The sequence below is a fragment of the Homo sapiens genome, chromosome 8 (assembly GCF_000001405.40).
Source record: "Homo sapiens chromosome 8, GRCh38.p14 Primary Assembly".
Lineage (NCBI taxonomy): Eukaryota > Metazoa > Chordata > Mammalia > Primates > Hominidae > Homo > Homo sapiens.
In genome coordinates this window covers 119784096-119807645 of record NC_000008.11, presented here as the reverse complement: position 1 = coordinate 119807645, position 23550 = coordinate 119784096, and the positions used below count along the sequence as shown (strand labels likewise).

At 36.3% G+C, this 23550-nt stretch overlaps 1 protein-coding gene across 8 annotated transcripts in view; it reads left to right on the top strand.

Moving 5' to 3' along the window:
• TAF2 (TATA-box binding protein associated factor 2) overlaps window positions 1-23550 on the top strand; it is a 102068-nt gene that overhangs the window by 25196 nt on the left and 53322 nt on the right. For 5 of the 8 annotated variants that reach the window (NM_001437339.1, NM_001438084.1, NM_003184.4 and 2 more), the window contains 12 exons: window positions 1245-1363; window positions 3627-3768; window positions 5621-5852; window positions 9800-9984; window positions 10543-10656; window positions 12015-12114; window positions 14195-14280; window positions 16187-16322; window positions 17900-18054; window positions 18742-18856; window positions 19199-19308; window positions 22380-22445. In NM_001437339.1, the coding sequence (NP_001424268.1) occupies window positions 1245-1363; window positions 3627-3768; window positions 5621-5852; window positions 9800-9984; window positions 10543-10656; window positions 12015-12114; window positions 14195-14280; window positions 16187-16322; window positions 17900-18054; window positions 18742-18856; window positions 19199-19308; window positions 22380-22445 (1560 nt within the window). Of the gene's footprint in view, window positions 1-1244; window positions 1364-3626; window positions 3769-5620; window positions 5853-9799; window positions 9985-10542; window positions 10657-12014; window positions 12115-14194; window positions 14281-16186; window positions 16323-17899; window positions 18055-18741; window positions 18857-19198; window positions 19309-22379; window positions 22446-23550 lie in introns of those variants that run through there. The other 3 variants (XM_047422152.1, XM_017013783.3, XM_047422153.1) reach the window with 3 other exon arrangements.

The window sequence follows — 23550 nt, the reverse complement described above, 5'->3', positions numbered from 1 at the left end:
GCTAAAACTTGTCTTTTAACTAGATGAAAAAAGTATTAAGTTATAGGAATGTCACTAATTTCACCTTGTGGCTACACCTAACGGCAGGATGGCAGACATAAAGGTGTACAACGAGGATGTGGTCCATGGTGTTTGTGTATTTCATCTTGTATTCTTGCCCTTCCCATTCCGTATCTTTTTCCTGTCTTTCATTTCTTTCGTATTTTTTTAAACTAATTTCAGTGAGGAAATGTAATATGTGTATATGTACACATATAAGTTGCTTTTATGGAGTACAATTTAAAAACCAGTTGAGAACAACATTTTCACGTTTCTGTAAGACTTCATCGTATTGTTTTCATCAAATGGGAAATAAGGTCAGATAACTATGGAACAAATATTTATGTAGTAGTCTCTCCTGACATAGTGAATATAACGGTGAGCCTGCTGAAAATTCTCTGCTTCATTAAGCTTACATTATGATGCACTAATGGGTGGAGGTAGGTGCTATTACATTTTGAGGAACTGAGTCCCATCCTGATTTGTTTTAAACATCTTAATTTTTGTCAAATTATAAAGCTTGTTGAATCCATTCAATTTTTTGCCACATTGATAGGGAATAATTATTTATTCAGTGCTTCACGTATTCTTTACATTTGTATCAAAAAAGGATAGTGGCTTTGGCATTCCAAAATTAATGAAGAATGTGATAGTCATAATAATAGTCATGTAACTTGGTGAGTAGAATATATATTCTGTTGTATTCATAGATTAATAGTTTTTAACATGGTGAGTAGAGCAAACCATTACTTGGCTAAAGAGTGTTCTTAGAAATTATATAAGAAGATAAAATGCTTACAAATAATTGGTATCAAATGATATTTAAGAAAATGCTCAGAGGCCAGGCATGGTGGCTCATGCCTGTAATCCCAGCACTTTGGGAGGCCAAGGTGAATGGATCACTAGAGGTTAGGAGTTCGAGACCAGCCTGACCAACATGGTGAAACACCATCTCTACTAAAAATATAAAAATTAGCTGGTTGTGGTGGTGGGTGCCTGTAATCCTAGCTACTCGGGAGGCTGAGGGATGAGAATGCTTGAACCTGGAGGTGGAGGTTGCAGTGAGTTGAGATGGTGCCACTGACCTCTGGCCTGGGCAACAGAGTGAGACTTCATCTAAAAAAAAAAAAAAAAAAAGAAAGAAAGAAAAATGCTTGGTAAGATACATGGCTTATTATTAAAAGTTGGCTCTTTTTTTTCCCCAGGAGAAACCTCAATTATTTTTCCAATGCTTATGCAGCTGCAGTTAGTGCTGTGGACCCTGATGCAGGAAATGGAGAACTTTGCATTAAGGTTCCATCAGAGCTATGGAAACACGTTGATGGTAAAGCACCAAGAGTATATTGACTGTACACTAAAATCACGTTAGATTCAGACACTAGAGAATTTTACATGAGAACTAATGATGCAGGCACTGTGCCTCATGCCTGTAATCCCAGCACTTTGGGAGGCTGAGGCGGGTGGATCACCTAAGATCAGGAGTTCAAGACCAGCCTGGCCAACATGGCGAAACCCCATCTCTACTAAAAATACAAAAATTATCCAGGCTTGGTGGGCGCATGTAATCCCAGCTACTCAGGAGGCTGAGGCAGGAGAATTGCTTGAACCCAGGAGGTGGAGATTGCAGTGAGCTGAGATCGCACCCCTGCACTCCAACCTGTGCAACAGAGTGAGACTCCGTCTTAAAAAAAAAAAAAGAAAAACAAAAACAAAACGAAAGAACATTAACGATGTCAAAATTGTAAATTAACCAGTTGAAATATATAGAATGGGTTGGAAGCTCTTTTTCTTATTAAGGATCACTGGCTAACAGGATGATACCATTTCAGGGCTGTGAAAAAAGCAATTTATTTCACCGTTGTTTTTTAAAGCTAAAAAAAAAATTTTTTTTTGTTTTTTTTGAGACGGAGTTTCGCTCTTGTTGCCCAGGGTGGAGTGCAATGGCGCAATCTTGGCTCACTGCAACCTCTGCCTCCCGAGTTCAAGGAATTCTTCTGCCGCAGCCACCGAGTAGCTAGGATTCCAGTCTCCTGCCACCACGCCTGGCTGATTTTTGTATTTTTAGTAGAGACAGGGTTTCATCATGTTGGCCAGGCTGCTCTCGAACTCCTGACCTCAGGTGATCCACCCTCCTTGGCCTCCCAAAGTGCTGGGATTACAGGCGTGAGCCACTGCGCCTGGCCATGAAAAATATTTTTAAAAAATCATATAGGTAGAACCTGCACAATATCAAATTAGTTTAGAATTGTAGCATTTTGTAGCAGGAAAGATCCTGAAAAAATCTGGTTAAATTCCTTCTTTTTACAGAAGAGTAATCTGAAGTCTAATGAGAGTGAGTGACCTGCTGAACTTCACTTAGCAAATTATTGGTGAAGTTAAAGCTAAAACACATGGTTCCTGATACTCAGTCTGCAGACTTTTTAAACCTTCTTTGTGTCTTGTATAAAGTTTTAGCCATTGTAATATTGTATATTAGCTTCTGCCTTGCTTATTTAGCCTTATAAAAATTAATCAAGGAAGTAAAAGAGTCCTTGTTTTGTTTATTGGTTTCCGTTGTGGGTGCTGGGGACGGGGTAGGGTTTGTGGAGGAACTTACCCTAATTTAGGGGACAGACGTGGAAGTCGTCATTGCATTTTTAGGGTTTGGAGATAGTGCATATGATTGTAATTCTTGGAGGGAAATTAAAATCTTATGAAAGCAACACAGTTTATAGTGAAGAAATCAAGCATAACAAAAAACGTGATAATAATGCAAATTCTCCGGTGGTGTTCCCTACTCTACCTCTCATCCTTGTACTCCCCAAAGTCACCCAGGGTTAAGTTTGTGGGATAATATAATAAGAGAAAGAACTTGAAAAGTAAGTGTATTAGTCCGTTTTCATGCTGCTGATAAAGACATACCTGAGACTAGGAAGAAAAAGAGGTTTAATGAACTTATAGTTTGACATGGCTGGGGAGACCTCACAATCTTGGCAGAAGGCAAGGAAGAGCAAGTCATGTCTTATGCAGATGGCTGCCAGCAAAAAGAGAGAGAGAGAGCTTGTGCAGGGCAACTCCCATTTTGAAAACCATCAGATCTTGTGACACTTATTCACTATCACAAGAACAGCAAGGGAAAGACTTGCCCCTGTGATTCAGTTACCTCCTACCAGGTCCCTCCCATACCACATGGGAGTTATGGGCGCTGCAAGATGAGATTTGGGTGGGGACACAGAGCCAAACTATATCAGTAAGTTTGGGGTTGGATTTGGAAGGCCTAAGTGTGCAGTGTGGGAGTTTTGGACTTTTTAGGCATTGTACATTGTCAGAAATGTTGAGAGGAGGATATGGCGTAACCAAAGGTGTATTTTGGGAAAATAATACAAGCAATAGTTATAATTGATTGGAGGTAGAAAACCAATAGGGGCAGCCTGTTGAGTTAATATAGGCAGACATATGGTAAAAGTCTAAACTAGGGTAAGTAGTGTGGTTTTTCATATAAATCTCAGTCCTCAATTCCATTTCATGTTCAGCATTAAATCTTTGTCTTTATTATATAGACCACTGTAACTTATGTATCAATGTGTGTATATGTTTATTTGTTGCAGAGTTAAAGGTCCTGAAGATACACATCAATTTTTCTTTGGATCAGCCCAAAGGAGGTCTTCATTTTGTGGTACCCAGTGTAGAGGGAAGTATGGCAGAGAGAGGTGCTCATGTTTTCTCTTGTGGGTATCAAAATTCTACAAGGTAGATTATAGATTCTTAAATATTTCAATTAATTTTTAAATTGCATTTTTTATGTATAAGCAAGACATACATTTGGTGTAAAACAAGAAATACTAGTTTTATTCCCTTCCAAATTTAGACTTCTTTCAAATTACTTTCTGTTAGTCATTCCTCTTAAAAAAAAATTTTTTTTTCTTTTTTTTTTTTCAGACAGTCTTGCTCTGTCACCCTTGTTGGAATACACTGGGGTGCTATCTCTGCTCACTGCAACCTGTGCCTCCTGGGTTCAAGTGATTCTCATGCCTCAGCCTCCCAAGTAGCTGGTATTACAGGCATTCACCACTACACCTGCCTAATTTTTTATATTTTTAGTACAGATGGGGTTTTACCATGTTGGCCAGAATGGCCTTTAATTCCTGACCTCAAGTGATCTGCCTGCCTCAGCCTCCCAAAGTACTGGGATTACAGGCATGAGCCACCATGCCCGACCCCTCCTCAATCTTACATCTCCCTTCTTCTCTCTCATTTTCATGTCTACTGTTCTAAAATAATCATCTCACTTGATTCCTTCTTTTTTAAAAACTTTATATTGAAGTAAAACATACATACAGAAAATTGCACAGAATGTAAAGCTCGATGAATTTTCACAAGTGAACAAGCCTACATAATTTACATCTAGAGACAAAGAATATTACAAGATTATAGAGACCTCCTCTCACCTGCTTTCATACTCTACTTCCCCACTCCACATTCTACTACTCAACTCTGCTTATTTATTTATTTTTTTTGAAACAGAGTCTCACTCTGTTGTCCAGGCTGGAGTGCAGTGGCATAATCTTGGCTCACTGCAATCCCCACCTCCTGGGTTCCAGTGATTCTCCTACCTATCCTCCTAAGTAGCTGGGACTACAGGCATGTGCCACCACACCTGGCTAATTATTTTATTTTTAGTAGAGATCAGGTTTCGTCATATCTTTAGTAGAGATAGCCTGTTGCACCAGCTGGAGTGCAGTGGCGCAATCTCGGCTCATGCAATCTCGGCTCATGCAACCTCCACCTTCCAGGTTCAAGTGATCCTCCTGCCTCAGCCTCTGGAGTAGCTGGGATTACAGGCAGATGCCACATGCCTGGCCAATTTTTGTATTATTAGTAGAGACAGGGTTTCACCATGTTGGCCAGGCTGGTTTCCAACTCCTGACCTCAGGTAATCCACCTGCCTCAGCCTCCCATAGTGCTGGGATTACAGGTGTCAGCCACTGCGCCCAGCCTGTCCTCAGATTATTATAATAACTTCTCTAAACCAGGGATAATGTCTTACACACTTTTGTGCTTCAATACTAAGTACCTACCCTGTCACGTAACACCTTACTGAACTGATGAAAGCTGACTATAAATTTTATATCTAACTTAACCAGCACTCAGTTTGAATTTATACAATACGTTACATACTCCAAAAAAGCAGTTTTATAATTTAATGGAATAAATTCTGAATGTTAGTTATGCTTTATAAAACTTTTTGCTGTGAGCCTTTTTTAGTTTCTAGAAATGAATGCTGCATAAAAACTGACTAATATGCGGATACAAGTTAAAATTATTTTTTAAAACACTGAAAGCTAAGAATTGCTTAACTCTTTTTAGGGTTTGAACTGATGGTACCACATAATATATTTTCTTAATATTGCCAAATAGTATTTGGAAACAGATTTTATTTTATCAGATTTTTTTCAGGTTGTACAGTAAAAAGCTTCAGTAGCCAAATAGCTAAAGGTTTTGTTTGTTCATTTTCTAGAAATGCTAAAATAACTTGCATGTGGGGAAAACAATGTAGAGAACTCTTTGAATACATTTTCTATACTGTCAATCTTTTTTCTAGATTTTGGTTCCCTTGTGTTGATTCATACTCTGAATTGTGTACATGGAAATTAGAATTTACAGTAGATGCTGCAATGGTTGCTGTTTCTAATGGCGATTTGGTGGAGACAGTGTATACTCATGATATGAGGAAGAAAACTTTCCATTATATGCTTACCATTCCTACAGCAGCGTCAAATATCTCCTTGGCCATTGGACCATTTGAAATACTGGTAGATCCATACATGCATGAGGTAAGTCAGAGCTTTCCTCTCTTACTCTCCTCCTGGCCCTTTACTGCTTTTAAAAAGATAGATATTGGCAAGGCACGGTGGCTCATGCCTGTAATCCCAGCACTTTGGGAGGCCAAGGTGGGCGGATCACAGGGTCAGGAGATCGAGACCATCCTGGCTAACACAGTAAAACCCTGTCATTACTAAAAATACAAAAAATTAGCCAGGCGTGGTGGTGGGCGCCTGTAGTCCCAGCTACTCGGGAGGCTGAGGCAGGAGAATGGCTTGAACCCAGGAGGCAGAGCTTGCAGTGAGCTGAGATTGTGCCACTGCACTCCAGCCTTGATGACAGAGCGACATCTCAAAAAAAAAAAAAAAAGGTAGATATTAATGAAATATTGTCTTCCTTCACTCTTTTTTCAACTATCAAGAATATGACTAGAGAGAAAATGTTTCCTTATCTAATATATATAATGATGTGAATTCTTGAATGAATTTCTTTCAAAATGTTGTATTTAAATTTCAGATTATTTTCCAACAGAGTCTTAGCATTTCAAAAGAGCTTCAGTTATATCTTGATTTAGCATATAGGTAGATTTCTGTAACTAATTTTGTTCATTACTAATGACATCTTTTCATTTATCATGTTTTTGAATGTTGTGGTCCCATCTCTGGAATCTAAAATATTGTAAATTCAAAATTAAAGAGCAAGATTTATTCTCTCTTCAACCTATACAGAGGAAAACAGACAGAGTTAGAAACCTGGTTAGCAAACTCATGAAGACTTCTAGTTTCTTCCCAGCACATATCTTATCACAATTCATTTATCAATTGACAGGCCAAATCACAGTTTTAGGCCTCCCCAAGCATGAGACTTCTGCTGATTAGAAAATGATTTATTAGTTGTTAACTCTCTTTTTTCGTCTTCAATTTAGGTTTATTTTTTAAAAAAGAAATACATAAGCATATAATTTGACCACGTATATCTCCACAGCATTTCTTTTAGTCATGTGAATAAAAATTGAGGGCAGCAGGCTTTCGGTGAGCTCCTCAGTTTGCCTTTTATATTTGCCTTGCTGAAATTCACAGGATTTGTAAAATCACTCGTGGAAAAGATTCAGGATATTTTGTGTTGGTTTTGCTTACGTTGTCTTAACAATGACTCTTTTTAAAGGTTTATCCACTGATAAGATTAGCAGTGAACTTTATTGTCTTTGGTAAATGATCAGCTTTAAACATGCTACCTGACTTCAAACTATACTACAAGGCTACAGTAACCAAAACAGCATGGTACTGGTACCAAAACAGAGATATAGACCAATGGAACAGAACAGAGGCCTCAGAAATAATACCACACATCTACAACCATCTGATCTTTGACAAACCTGATAAAAACAAGAAATGGGGAAAGGATTCCCTATTTAATAAATGGTGCTGGGAAAACTGGCTAGCCATATGTAGAAAGCTGAAACTGGATCCCTTCCTTACACCTTATACAAAAGTTAATTCAAGATGGATTAAAGACTTAAATGTTAGACCTAAAACTATAAAAACCCTAGAAGAAAACCTAGGCAATACCATTCGGGACATAGGCATGGGCAAGGACTTCTTATCTAAAACACCAAAAGCAATGGCAACAAAAGCCAAAATTGACAAATGGGATCTAATTAAACTAAAGAGTTTCTGCACAGCAAAAGAAACTACCATCAGAGTGAACAGGCAACCTACAGAATTGGAAAAATTTTTGCAATCTACTCATCTGACAAAGGGCTAATATGCAGAATCTACAAAGAAGTCAAATTTACAAGAAAAAAACAACCCCATCAAAAAATGGGCGAAGGATATGAACAGACACTTCTCAAAAGAAGACATTTATGCAGCCAACAGACACATGAAAAAATGCTCATCATCACTGGCCATCAGAGAAATGCAAATCAAAACCACAATGAGATACCATCTCACACCAGTTAGAATGGCGATCAGTAAAAAGTCAGGAAACAACAGGTGCTGGAGAGGATGTGGAGAAATAGGAACACTTTTACACTGTTGGTGGGACTGTAAACTAGTTCAACCATCGTGGAAGACAGTGTGGCAATTCCTCAAGGATCTAGAACTAGAAATACCATTTGACCCAGCCATCCCATTACTGGGTATATACCCAAAGGATTATAAATCATGCTGCTATAAAGACAGATGCACATGTGTGTTTATTGCAGCACTATTCACAATAGCAAAGACTTGGAACCAACCCAGTCCATCAGTGATAGGCTGGATTAAGAAAATGTGGCACATATGCATCATGGAATACTATGCAGCCATAAAAAAGGATGAGTTCATGTCCTTTGCAGGGACATGGATGAAGCTGGAAACCATTATTCTCAGCAAACTCGCAAGGACAAAAAACCAAACACCACATGTTCTCACTCATAGGTGGGAACTGAACAATGAGAACACTTGGACACAGGAAGGGGAACATCACACACCGGGGCCTGTCGTGGGGTGGGGGGATGGGGGAGGGATAGCATTAGGAGATATACCTAATATAAATGATGAGTTGATGGGTGCAGCACACCAACATGGCACATGTATACATATTTAACCTGCACATTGTACGCATGTACCGTAGAACTTAAAGTATAATAAAAAATGATAATATAAAAAAATTTTAAAAAATCAATGTTTGATTAGTACCGATTTTGTATTTAAGAAGAATTTTTTTTCTACTCTGAGCTATTGAATAGGAACAAGGCAAATGATAGTCAAGAATTGTTTTTCCTGACTTAGTCTTCTCTGTGTCAAATACATGACTTGTCTGCATTATCAGTAAATTTGCTGTCTTGTAGGATTTGTCTAAAAATTAGTCCTTTTTTTGGTGAATAGTATTTTTTATTTGCATACACAAATAAAATTATGATTAAATATGATTAATACAAACAGAGTGTTAATCATGATACAAATTTGGGCCCTGATTATTAGTAATACATAGATGCTTTTCTCCACTCTTATGGTAGCCTCTAATCTGTTCTTTTTAAATGCTATTAGAAGAATAATTTTTATGATAAAAATTTCCCTTGCCTTTATAATTCTGCAGTAATTAGAACTCTTTAGCATGGCTTTCAAGATCTTCTATAATTTGACCGTAATAGATGTTATATTCAAAATAGTTTACTTATATTTCTCTGATCATACCTTTTTTCTTCCCATCTTTGACCCTGGGACGTTCTCTTTTCCTGTACCAAAAGTTTCCTATCAAACTTCTGTTGAACTCAAAAAGATTACCACAGCTTCACACTCCTGCATGAAACCTTACACGGTTGTTCTAGTCAGTGACCTGTGTCATTGTTGATGGCACTCATTTGGCACAGATCATAATAAGAGATAGCATATGATATTTGTGTGACCAAAGTGAGATGTAACCTAATGAAAAAAAACAGAGTTACTATTTCTGTTGCAGGCATTTTTTAATCTCCTAACTACCAGTAAACTTTTCTGCAGTCTTTGGTGTGTAATTGAAATATTAGAGGGGGACTACAGTAATTATTTTTATATGCAGATAATATGATTAACATTAACTGTTGATAAGATAGTACTATAACGTGCATTATTCACTGGGTTAAATATTTATGAATAAGAGGTATGTTTATAATAAACCTTTGAAATTTAAGTCTTATTATGTGTACCTATGAGAAAAAATTTTAATTGAATTTGGAACTAGAGTTGTATTTTAGTTGGTCTGAGCATTCCACAGACTTATAATCCACCGTGAATTTAATTTTTAAGTAGTTAATATTTTATAAATGTGATCAGTAAAAGTGATCACTATTTTCACAACATTTTCTTTCAGCATCTTGAAATTATTAAAGAATAGATTTATGAGAACATTTATTTATAGTTGAGGTGTTTAGGAAATTTCCAATATTAAATTTAACTCTTTCATTTAGATGATCTTCCTTGCTTCTTCTTTTCAGGTTACTCATTTTTGTTTGCCCCAACTTCTTCCATTGCTGAAACATACCACATCATACCTTCATGAAGTCTTTGAATTTTATGAAGAAATTCTTACATGTCGTTACCCATACTCCTGTTTTAAGACTGTCTTCATTGATGAGGCTTATGTTGAAGTGGCTGCTTATGCTTCCATGAGCATTTTTAGGTTGGTATCTCTTCAGATTTGAAATGCCTAAATTAAGATCATGATATGAAGAAAATTTACTGATTTTGCGGTCAATTTTAAGACGAGCTTTGAACTTTTTTCCGCAATTTGGATGTGATTGGCTTTGTACAAAATTTGGTTTTAAAATTTTTTAAATGTAGAAAAACATGAAGACAAAGTTTTTGAGATAACTCAAAAGGCTCATCTTCATCCAGAATTAACTAATATTAGTATTTTCCCTGTTTTAGTCTTGTGTTCATAAATTCTTTAAAAATTGTACAAATTATTGTATGACTAGTATGAATTTTTTTCTAGCACTATTTAAAAATGTACTGATATTGTCAGAAATTTACTGATATCATCAGTGGAAAATGTGTTCTTTGCTTTAAGCAAGTTACTAAGATGATGAATTTTAGCTAAATTTTGAAAAGATTAGAAAGGTGGGAGAATTTTTTCTCTATTTAGCTTCCATTGTTTTAAAAGTGGAATTATTTTATTTTCACTGAATAAGTATTTATTTCTTGGTTATAATGAGCTTTCTTCTCTTTTAAATTCCAGCACAAATCTTTTACACAGTGCCATGATTATAGATGAGACACCTTTGACTAGAAGGTGTTTAGCCCAATCCTTGGCCCAGCAGTTTTTTGGTTGTTTCATATCTAGAATGTCTTGGTGAGTGACCTGAAAGTTCATACTACTGAGAAGAGAATCAAGTTTATTTTTCTTTTCTTTCTCTGCATTTAAGCTGACCTTTGCCCTAATTGCAGATAGCTAATTTAAGAGACACTGTTCTATATGTATTTAAAGAAAAATGATTATAAGTTTCATCCTAACTTTTTGGCCATGAAATCAATATAGTCACTTATATTTATTAGTTAATTAAATTAGCTAATTTAAAAGACACTGTTCTATATGTATTTAAAGAAAAATGATTATAAGTTTTATCCTAACTTTTTGGCCGTGAAATCAATATAATCACTTCTGCAGTTTATAAGGTAAGATTTTGGTAAAACAGTGTCTTAAAGAACTGAATGAATTCTATAAATAAAAGAACTTAAATGTACAGAAATCTGAAGTTAGAATTTTAATGTCAGTGTTCAAAGCAATTGGAAATAACTCAATATTTAATGTAAAATAGTACTCCTCTGCAATATTAATAATTATTTAGGGATTTGCCTACTAGTGCTCAGCTTTGTACCAGTTTGTTGAAAGAAATGAAAGGTATATATGCTTTTTCTTTTCTTTTTTATTAACTTGAGATTATTTTGAAGAAAACAGAAAAATTAAGATTATAATTGTGAACATTCTATACTATATATAGTATGGAAATGTTGGTTTTCTTTTTTCGCTTGCTGGAGTGGAGAGGAGAGGGCAGAGACTAAAGATAGATCTCTTGATTTGTAGTTTTCCTAAAATCACATGTAGAAGTTTCATTAAAGAATAGTGCTTGGAATGTAGTAGGCAAAATATTATGGATGGATGGATGGATGGAGTGGGTAGATGGATAGATGGATGAGTATACAAATGAATAAATGAGTGAGTGATGTTAATTGCCATTTTTCTAGAGAAAGCAAAAAAAAATGAATGAAGGAATTAAACTTTAGGTTTTAGAATATCATTGGTAATGGCATAATGCATGGGATTGGCAATAATAGCATGTAGACTTTTAGAATTGAACAGTATAGTCCTGGCTATGAGCAAGTATTTCCTTAGAGGCAGAGACAGTAAGAACAGAGTTGGGCAGGAGGGAAGCAGCACTGTCAGAGTAGAGCATGTACTCTGGTAATTTATACCTGAAGCAAGACTGTAAAGCAGTCTCATAATGAAAGGTAAAGGCAGGTGTGAATAAGGTATAATAAATGGGCAAGTAGAACTCAGAGGAAGTTGGGAAACCTGATAATTTGTTAATAATTTTCATTTTCTTTATGAAGGCAGGGAAATACACACTACACTTATTCCGTTATCCTCTTTGACATTATCTGAGGAGTTTTTATGATTAAAAGTAATTTATGCTTTGACTTTTTGCTTAGGTCTGATGAATGGGTGCTGAAGGGAATTTCAGGCTATATCTATGGACTTTGGATGAAAAAAACTTTTGGTGTTAATGAGTACCGCCATTGGATTAAAGAGGTAATAACAGCTAGATCCCTTATCCACTTACAAGTCTTATGTCCTCCATTTTTAATGACTGTAAAATACTTTTAAAATACTGCTTGAAAATCCCTAATTTTTCCCAGCAAAATGGGAATTGATTTACTGAGAAAGACTAATGGTCTATTTTATCTAATCTCCATTGTCAACATTGGCCCCTAAAAACCTTTTTTTCCCCTAAGGAAGAGAATATTTAAGTTTCTTAAACATCAGATTGGTCGTTAGGTATGTCCCAGCTCCTTATAGTAGTCGTTTGTAACTGTGCTTCCTAAATTTGTTAGCTTTGTAACCTTAATCTTTCCAAGTCTCTGTTTAAGGAGGGCAATTGTAGTGTCTGCCCATAGGCAGAGATTATTAGACATTATACAAGTAATGTGCATGATGCTTTGCACATATTAACTGCTTATTATATTCTGGCTAGGCTTTGAATGCATTTATGTTGTCATTGTCACATCTTTTTTTTTTTTTTAACGATTTAAAGATTTGGCCAAAAAGAAAACATCAGTTGTATTTTACTTAGCACATTGTGGTCATATACATAAACATTTTAATCATATCATGCTTAGTGTCTTCCTTCTCAGGTGGAAGAATTGCAGCCTTTCATATCTTCATTAAACAAACCTTATCATCTTCCCCGTATTCTCATTTTACATATTATTATCATCCAAGAGTAAACTCAAGTAAGCCAAAAAGTTAATTTTCGAAGACTTCAAACACCTAGAGCTATTAAGGTATTTGTACATCTAGAACTGGAGTCTCTTCTTTATTTCAGAAACTATTAAAGAAGAAGAACAAAGTAACACAACACTTAAAATATTTCACGCACTGTTACAAATGTTTTATAAATATTAAAATGATCTTAATTCTCCTAACTACCTTGCTATCATTCCCATTTTATAGATGAAGAAACTGAGGAACAGAAAGAAAGGTTAAATTATTTGGTCAAAGTATACAGCTAGTAAGTAGTAGGCCCAGGATTCCAGCTTGGCTTTTAGTTTCTTCTCTATGCTGTTTGCCACTTTTCTGTACTACATCTGTATTATTTAAAGCAGTTAGGAGTTTCCAGCACAATTGTGGTAGTGTCTTTATTTTAACTTATGCTTTTTTTTTTTTTTGAGACGGAGTCTCACTCTGTTGCTCAGGCTGTAGTGCAGTGGCGCAATCTCGGCTCACTGCAACCTCTGCCTCCCGGGCTTAAGCGATTCTTCCACCTTAGCCTCCTGAGAGCTGGGATTACAGGCACCCGCCATCACGCCCGGCTAATTTTTTGTATTTTTAGTAGAGACGGGATTTCACCATGTTGGCCAGGATGGTCTCGAACTTCTGACCTCGTGATCCACTTGCCTCAGCCTCCCAAAGTGCTGGGATTACAGATGTGAGCCACTGCGCCCGTCTTCACTTATGCTTTTTTTCTTTTAATTAACCAGGCACGGTGGCATGTGCCTGTAGTTCCAGCTTCTTGGGCTGAGGTGGGAGGATCACCTAAGCCCAGGAAGTCAAGGCTGCAGTAAGCCATAATCAGCTACTGAACTCCAGCCTGGGTGACAGAGTAAAACCCTGTCTCAAAACAAAACAAAACAACTGCCCCCAACCCCCCCTTTTTTTTTCTGTTTAAAAAAAAAAATCCCCCTTTTTAAAAGTTCAATTTATGTCATGTTAGAGAAGACTGGAGAAGTTTTAAAATGATAGATTCCTGACATAATTTATTCCCATTCCTTTTTACTCGCCTAAATTTTTTGAAGCAAAATACAGAGAAGGAAAAATAAACTTGGAGACAGCTCAGAGAGATTGAGAACAGCCATAAGAAAAAGTTGCCAGGCTGCTGTCCAGCCCTGAAGTCATAAAGTAGAGAAGTCTTTGGCTTTTGTCATTCTGCCAGCTGTGTAGGCTGCTTTATTTATAAGAACATAAACTACTCTTTAAATACATTTCACTTATTTTAAGAAATTTACATTCTGATTTTAGGAAATGAGAATTCACAGTTTAATTCTAAAATTTGGTATGTAAAAAAATGTTACTTTACAAATTTTACTGACTCCTATTTTTATATATTTTTTAGGAGCTAGACAAAATAGTGGCATATGAACTAAAAACTGGTGGGGTTTTACTACATCCCATATTTGGTGGAGGAAAAGAGAAGGATAAGTATGTTTATTGTTCAGAGATGATATTATAAACCTTGACTATATATAACAATTATTCCATTTAAGAGCTAAATAGTATTTCATTGTACCTCAGAATTTATTTAACCTTTTTCTTATTGCTATTCTTTGCTAAAGCTTACAGACTCATAAAGCTCATAAGATTGGAAGTAATAAGTAAAATATAAAAATAATTTTTAAAATATCAGATTGATTATAAAGTATCTGAAGTTTTAATGTGCCACATTAAAAATTTTTTTTTAATTTTTTTTAAATGGGGTCTCACATTGTTACCCAGGCTGATCTCAAACTCTTGGGCTCAAGCAATCCTCCTGCCTTAACCAATATGCCACATTTTGAAGGAGATGCATAATACCACTTGCCATAGTTTGTTTATTCTACTATACCAAAGTACCACAGACTGGGTAATAATGTAAACAGTAGAAATTTACTTCTTGTTCTGGAGGCTGGGAAGTTCAAGACTGAGGCACTGGGAGGATTGGTGTCTGGTGAGGGCTGCTCTCTGCACCTAGTTGGCACCTAGTTGCTGCATCCTCCAGCGGGAAAGAATGTGTCCTCACAAGGTGGAAGGGATGGCAGGGCAAGAGAACGCTCCCTTCAACCTGGAGCCTTTCTATGAGGGCGCTAATCCCATTCATGAGGGTAGATCCCTGATGATTTAATCACTTCCCAAAGGCCACCTCTTAAGACTGTTGCGTTGGGGTTTAAGTTTCAACATGAATTTTGGAGGGGGCACCATCATTCAAACAAACTATAGCACCACTCATACACTGTGAGAGTGTAGTTTGATACAGTGTTTCTGATGGGTAATTTAGTGTGGTACTAATCAGAATTGTAGAATGGGTAATTTTTAGATCCAGCAATTCTTCTAGGTATGTGATCATGTAGAAATTCTTCTGGCCCAGCGCGGGGGCTCATGCCTGTAATCCCAGCACTTTGGGACGCTGGGCAGGTGGATCACCAGAGTTCAGGAGTTTGAGACCAGCCTACCAACATGGCAAAACCACATCTCTACCAAAAAATACAAAAATTAGCCAGGCGTGGTGGTGGGTGCCTGGTCCCAACTACTTGAGAGGCTGAGGCAAGAGAATCACTTGAACCTGGGAGGTGGAGGTTGCAGTGAGCCAAGATTGTGCCACTGCACTCCAGCCTGGGGATAAGAGCGAGACTCTATCTCAAAAGAAAAAAAAAAAAAAAAAGAAAGAAAGAAATTCTTCTAGGCATTTATCATACAGAAATATTTGCACATGTGTAAAAAGATACTCACCATAGCATTATTTGGTCTAGTGATAATTTGTAAACAAATTAAATGTTCATGTATGTCGTAAATATTTTCTAGACTGTATCTTTCTCTAAATTTACTTATGATCCTTTTCATTGTGTCAAAATGTTTTAATTTTTATGTAGTCATTGTGGTCTTTATGTCTTCCAGATTTTGTATTTTTTCTTAGGAAAATTTTTCCCATCCCAAAATATAAAGAGAAATTTTTTCCTTCATTTCTTTTAGTACTTTTATAATGGTTTTTGTTTTACATATATAATCAATCTTTAATATATTTTAGTGCATGCTTCAATGTTGGGATATTGATTGGAATTGCACTGATTGTATTGATGGATTTGGGGAGAATGGAAGTATTTACAGTATTGTATCTTCCCATCTAGGAGCTTGGTGTTTGTTTCCATTTATTCAGATTTTCCTTTATGTCCTTAAGTAAAACTTCATAATTTTCTTCTAGTTAAGTTTATTTTTAGATGTTTATTAGTACTAAGGAAATTGCTTATATATTCTCCTGAGGTTTTTTGGGTATTTTCTTGATGTGGTCATGAAATTTATTTTTTATTTAATAGTCACATTTGCTGTATTAGGTAAATGTGTTTATTTTTTTTAGTCCGGCTTCCCATCTACACTTTTCAATAAAGCATCCACATACACTGTCCTGGGAATACTACAGTATGTTTCAGTGTAAAGCCCACCTTGTGATGAGATTGATTGAAAATAGGATCAGTATGGAATTTATGCTACAAGTAAGTATTAAAGTTAAGAACTTAACAATGGTAAATAAAGATCTGTATGTGTATAATCTGAGTATGTTTCTGTAGAATAGGAGTCAGGACATCTGGATTTATAGTTTTGTTTGCCCACTAAGTAACCTGTGCTTTATATTTGCATTTCCTCAGATGTAGAATGGGTATCAATACCAGAACAACTTTGCACATGAATTTTATGAAGATATAATTAGAATGTGGTGGCTGGGCATGGTATCTCATGCCTATAATCCCAGCACTTTGGGAGGCTGAGGTGGGATGATTGCTTGAGGCCAGGGGTTCGAGACCAGCCTGGGCAGTATAGTAAGACCCCCCCCATCTCAAAAAAATTTTTATTACTAAGTCAGGCATAGTGGCATGATTCTGTAGTCCCACCTTCTTGGGAGGTGGAGGCAGGAAGATTGCTTGAGTCCAGGAGGTTGAAGCTGCAGTGAGCTATGATTGTGCCACTTCATACCAGCCTGGGTGACAGAGTGAGACTGTCTCAAAAGAAAAAAAAACTAGAATTGTGGGGATGAAAGTAAAACATATTTATACATATGAATTTGTGTTCTGCATTGTATTAAGGATGAAATGCCACTTTAAACTGTTTTCAATAGAAAAACGTAAACCAATAAAAAAGATGTTTATTTTTGCTATCGCTAAATTTTGCCATGTATTTTAAGCAAGTTTCAGAGTAAATGGTTGTGATTTAGTAGTTGCGAGTGGAAACCAAATGTTCAGCCATTTTTTTTCATTGTTAACATTCTTAGAGGCAGGTAAAAAATAATGCTTTTTTTAAAGCATTTTAAGTTTGCTGTAAAGTTCAGTTTCTTTAATCTTTCTGTCCTTCACCTTGCCTTTTTTTGGTTTGTTTTGTTTTTTTTTGAGATAGGGTCTCTGTCACCCAGGCTGGAGTGCAGTGGTGCAGTCACGGCCCACTGCAGCCTTGACCTCCCAGGCTCAAGGGATCCTCTCATCTATCTCAGCCTCCTGAGTTGCCGGGACTACAAGCATGCACCATCGTGCCTGACTAATTTTTGTATTGTTTGTAGAGATGGGGTTTCACTATGTTGCCCAGTCTGATCTCAAACTCCTGGGCTCAAGCTACCCACTTACCTTGGTCTCTCAAAGTGCTAGGATTACAGGCATGAGCCACCACACCTGGCCTTTAGAATGAAGAACAGAAATGTTAAAAGAGAGATGGTCCATAAAGAGCCACTCAAGCTTTGGAGTGGTATAAATCCTGATGAGTATCATTAGCTTCTTAATTTCTAGTTTCTATATAAACTACAATAAATTATAGGTATTATATATTATTCTTACTATAATTCTTAATATTATTCAGTACATCATTAACATTCAATAATGTTTATATGAAGAATGGTTTTGTATTCTGGCTGCTTATATCTTTGCATATTTCTATTGCTAGTAGTCTTTAGAATAATCTGTGTAATAAATAGTGAAATTATTGTCTTCTATAATTGACTACAATAAAGTTATAATGCAAAGTGAGTATTCTATATAATTGAAAAGAATCTGTTATATGAATTTACTAAATGATTTTATCCTTACAGGTTTTCAATAAACTGCTAAGTCTGGCTAGTACTGCTTCATCTCAGAAGTTCCAGTCACATATGTGGAGTCAGATGTTGGTTTCCACATCTGGGTTTTTGAAATCCATTTCAAATGTCTCTGGCAAAGATATTCAGCCGTTAATAAAGCAGTGGGTGTATCCTTTTCAATAGCAGTTCAACAGAGTGGGGAAGGGAATAAGGTATGTGTGCAAGGGGAAGATGGAAGAAGAGAGGTTTGAGGGGGACTCAAGGAAGTATGAACTGTTTATATTTCTAAACAATGGTAGAAATAATGATGAACTGTGAATTGTTTCATCTAAGATGCCTACTAGACATTAAGGTGCACACACATGTATGTTTATATTTGTAAAGTTTGGCATATTTTAAAGTACTTTCTAGTGAGTAAAGAATATGTGAGTAAAAAAATTGGTTTGATGATAGGATAGGTAAGTAATCTACCAGACAGACCTGTAGGATTACTTGTGAGGTGTGGTAGTTTAGTGACTTGTGGATGTGATTAGGGGTTGGCGCAATTTGAGTGGTATCTTGGAATTTTGCAGTTTTTGCATTTTTCACTTTAAAACACTATTAATAACTTTGTATAGTGGTTCTGCTTCTTTCAAAACACAAATTTGTCAGTGTTTCAGAAATTTTATTTAAATCTGGGAAAGCATTTTTCACAAGTACTTTGAATACTTTGCCACCTGGTTTACTGTAGCGTATGCTCTCAAACTTTGAACTGGTGGGAATGCACTTGAAAATTATTAATACCATGATGGATAACTTACTTTGTTTAGTACATATTCGTTTCAGTATGTAAACTTTCCTTTACAATTCTTCAGAGATCAGAGTGGAGTGGTAAAATTTTATGGAAGTTTTGCATTTAATAGAAAACGAAATGTCTTGGAACTGGAAATAAAACAGGACTATACATCTCCTGGAACTCAGAAATACGTGGTAAGTCTTTTTCCAAAATCGCCTTTGTACTGCTATCTCCTCAGTTTCAATAGAAGAGGGACTTAGGGATGGGTTACTACTTAGAAATTAATGAGATTTTGTTTGAAGTGGATAAATTGAGAAAACATTGACTTTGTCAAAGAAGGGAAGAGGAAGTACAGAGATTTCTGGGGACTCAGAATCTTCCAGTTGCCCTCTTTGGCACCAATTGCCTATCTAGGTCTCCAGATACTCATTTTGTGTAATATTTTATATCTTGATTTATATTTCTCTGTACACATAAGCATACATATTGGTATTTTTTAAATCACATCTCTGAACAGTACGTTTTTTTTTTAAAAGGGACCACTTAAAGTGACAGTGCAGGAGTTAGATGGATCCTTCAATCATACACTGCAAATTGAAGAAAACAGCCTTAAACATGATATACCCTGCCATTCCAAAAGTAGAAGGTAGGCATTACATAATAACTATAAATTGAAAGTTAAACTACAAATCTCACAGACTAAAATGCCAAAATAAAAATTCTCTTGTATACCTAATTTTTTTTAAATTATACTTTAAGTTGTGGGATACATGTGCAGAACATGCAGGTTTGTTACATAGGTGTACACGTGCCATGGTGGTTTGCTGCACCCATCAACCTGTCATCTACATTAGGTATTTCTCCTAATGCTCTCCTTCCCCTAGCCCCCCACCTCCTGACAGGCCCCGGTGTGTGATGTTCCCCTCCCTGTGTCTGTGTGTTCTCATTGTTCAACTCCCACTTATGAGTGAGAACATGCAGTGTTTGGTTTTCTGTTCCTGTGTTCGTTTGCTGAGAATGATGGTTTCCAGCTTCGTCCATGTCCCTGCAAAGGACATGAACTCATTCTTTTTTATGGCTGCATAGTGTTCTATGGTGTATATGTGCCACATTTTCTTTATCCAGTTTATCATTGATGGGCATTTGGGTTGGTTCCAAGTCTTGGCTATTGTGAACAGTGCTGCAATAAACATACGTGTGCATATGTCTTTATAGGAGAATGATTTATAATCCTTTGGGTAATACCCAGTAATGGGATTTCTGGGTCAAATAGTATTTCTGGTTCTAGATCCTTGAGGAATTGCCACACTGTCTTCCACAATGGTTGAACTAATTTACACTTCCACCAACAGTGTAAAAGCATTCCTATTTCTCCACATCCTCTCCAGCATGTGTTGTTTCCTAACTTTTTAATGATTGCTGTTCTAACTGGCGTGAGATGGTATCTCATTGTGGTTTTGATTTGCATTTCTCTAATGACCAGTGATGATGAGCTTTTTTTCATGTGTTTGTTGCCGCATAAATGTCTTCTTTTGAGAAGTGTCTGTTCATATCTTTAACCCACTTTTTGATGGGGTTGGGTTTTTTTTTGTTTGTTTGTTTTTGTTTTTGTTTTTTATTTTATTATTATTATACTTTAAGTTTTAGGGTACATGTGCACAATGTGCGGGTTAGTTACATATGTATATATGTGCCATGCTGGTGTGCTGCACCCATTAACACGTCATTTAGCATTAGGTATATCTCCTAAAGCTATCCCTCCCCTGGGGTTGGTTTTTCTCTTGTAACTTTAAGTTCCTTGTAGATTCTGGATATCAGCCCTTTGTCAGTTGGATAGATTGCAAAAATTTTTCCAAATCTGTAGGTTGCCTGTTCACTCTGATGGTAGCTTCTTTAACTGTGCAGAAACTCTTTAGTTTCATTAGATCCCATTTGTCAATTTTGACTTTTGTTGCCAATGCTTTTGGTGTTTAGTCCTAAAGTCTTTGCCCATGCCTCTGTCCTGAATGGTATTGCCTAGGTTTTCTTCTAGGGTTTTTGTGGTTTTAGGTGTACCTAATTTTTTTAGACAGTCTTGCTCTGTCACCCAGTCTGGAGTGCAGTGGCGCGATCTCAGCTCATTGCAACCTCCGCCTCCCGGTTCAAGCAATTCTCCTGTGTCAGCCTTCTGAGTAGCAGGGATTACAGGTGCCTGCCACCACGCCCCGCTACTTTTTGTATTTTTAGTAGAGACAGGGTTTCACCATGTTAGCCAGGCTGGTCTTGAACTCCTGACCTCAGATGATCTGCCCACCTCGGCCCCCCAAAATGCTGGGATTACAGGCGTGAGCTACCATGCCCGGCCTATGTATACCTAATTTTTTAGGTAGAGAACATGTTATCAGGTATCTTTTTTTCCTCATTTTACTTCCAGTTAGTATTACCAAACATTCTTTGTTTGCTTGCCTTCTTGATGACATTTTTATAAGAATTTTTAACATTTAGTTTTAAGAATCCTCATTTTGTTTGAAGGTAGAGGCCGAGGAGCTAGAATGAAAGTTTTAGTTTTTGGTACTAGAAAAAAATTCAAGACAAATAGGTTCATTCTTGTTAGTCTTGTTGGATTAATACCTAGAGGAAATATTAGAAAAATGGTGATTGAAGGGAAAGAACTGAATATGTCATGAAAAGCCTCTACATCTTGCTTACTATGTCTTTTTTTCTTTTTTCTCTATATCAGCATGCCCCTTCAGAACATTCTTGATGTATTTCAAAGGCAAATTGCCACTTTTCTTTAATATATTCTTCATTTACCCCTTATTTAACACAACAATTAGTATGTATTCTGAACAGTGAGAGATGAGAACATATCTGTGCTTTGCTGGAGAAATACGAACTTTCAGGAACAGAAGTTGTATTATACTCATGACTGTGTTTAGTTCACTCAGATAGATGAGAGTGTCTGTTGACTTTGAAGTCTTTTAAGGAACTTGATTCTGAAATCTTCTTATAGTCATTCTTACTCTGAGAAAATGCTTTCTTAAATCAGAGTGAGATTCTTATTTCTTTTTGTCCTATCCACCTTGGAAATTGGTAACATTTGATTGCTATTCTCAGGTTTTTTTCTCTGTAATAACAGAATGTCATTTGGAGTATTCTTTGGTATGAGGAACACAGGAAAAGTTTTCTCTGTTCCTGTTTTTATTTGCCCTTCCCCAGTTAACATAAAAACTGTTGCTTTTGTTTTTGCTTATCTTGAACCTTGTGCGTATTAATTGGTTCTACATATTGATCAATACTCTTAAGATATTTTATTAGCTAATTCATATAGGACAGAACCTTGCATATATGCAGCTGACAGCTCAGAATTATTCGTATCCCATTTCAAGGCTGATCCTTTTTCTGTTTAAGAGTTTTCTTTATTGATATATCCCCTTTTCTATACAAAATTGCAGCTATCAGTTCTTGGAATATATGTTTTAGGTTGACATTTTATTATATATTCATGCTTCTTGTTAACATTTGATCAGGAAAATAATTTGATGTTTACTTCATTCCCACCAGCTTTAAAATAAAGAGACTTTGTTCTATTTAAATTTTATTACATTTGATAGCCATTTTTCCTAAGGATAGCTTTCAATGTTGTGTGAAATACTTTATTTGAATTTTAGCTGCTGTTAATGTCCATTCAGAATTAGAAATCTCACAATTTTCCAACCTACTTTTTCTTAAATGTAGGAATAAAAAGAAAAAAATCCCACTGATGAATGGAGAAGAAGTTGATATGGATCTTTCTGCAATGGAGTAAGTTAGTTAACTTAAATATAAGGTTATAATACTTTCTGCATTCTCATCTGTCTACTTTGTTATGCGTACGTAAAAGTGTATAACTGTCCTCCAAATGAGTGCTTTAACATTATTTTAATTTAATAGAAACCCTATGTTAAAACAGTTTATGTAAAATCATAACTAATCAGAGATAAAAAGTAAGTCTGCCAGGGCCTAGGTGAAATTAAGAGGAAATGCATTATGGTTGAGGGGTGAGCACAACTTTGACTAGGCAGCTTCCTTATTCTCTCTTTGTGGCCTCTAGAGCAGTGCTCAGACTATAATGTGCATGTGAATCAGTTGGGGACCTTCCCAAAATGCAGTTTCTGATCCAGTACTACACTAGTGAGGCCTGATAGTTTGCATTTCTCATGAGCTCCCAGGTGATATTGATTCTTTGTCCTTAGAACAAAGGTCTTGGGTGCCTTAAGTCTCCCTATGCTTGCAAAACAATTTAAAAACCACTGTTCTAAACTTTATGTGGTAATATTTATTGATTGACAGTGTTTTATTTTTAAATATGATACAGCTCAAACTTTCTAATTTTGCCCATTCTGTACCTGTATATTTTTTATAAAACCTCTGTAATTATTTACTAACTTGATTGCCAGATTATCACTGCTGTTTATATACAGATTATGTTTGTTTGCCCTTCAAAATCAGTGTTAATTTTTTTTTGAGACAGAGTCTTGCTTGGTTGCCCAGGCTGGAGTGCAGTGGCACCATCTCGGCTCACTGCATGCCTGGCTGCATGCCACCATGCCTGGCTAATTTTTGTATTGTTAGTAGAGATGGGGTTTCGCCTTGTTGGCCAGGCTGGTCTTGAACCCCTGACCTCAAGTGATCCACCCGCCTCAACCTCCGAAAGTGCTGGGGTTACAGACATGAGCCATTGCACCTGGCTGAGATCAGTGCTAATTTTGATTTTTCCATAGCAAGTACCCTGCCTGTAGTAAGTACACAATAATATTTGCTGAATTTGAATTAATATTACAGGTGGTGTTCTTTTGATGAAGGTGTCGACATAGACTAGATTTTTTAAACTGTGTTTGTTACTTTGAGAAATACATGAAAATAAATT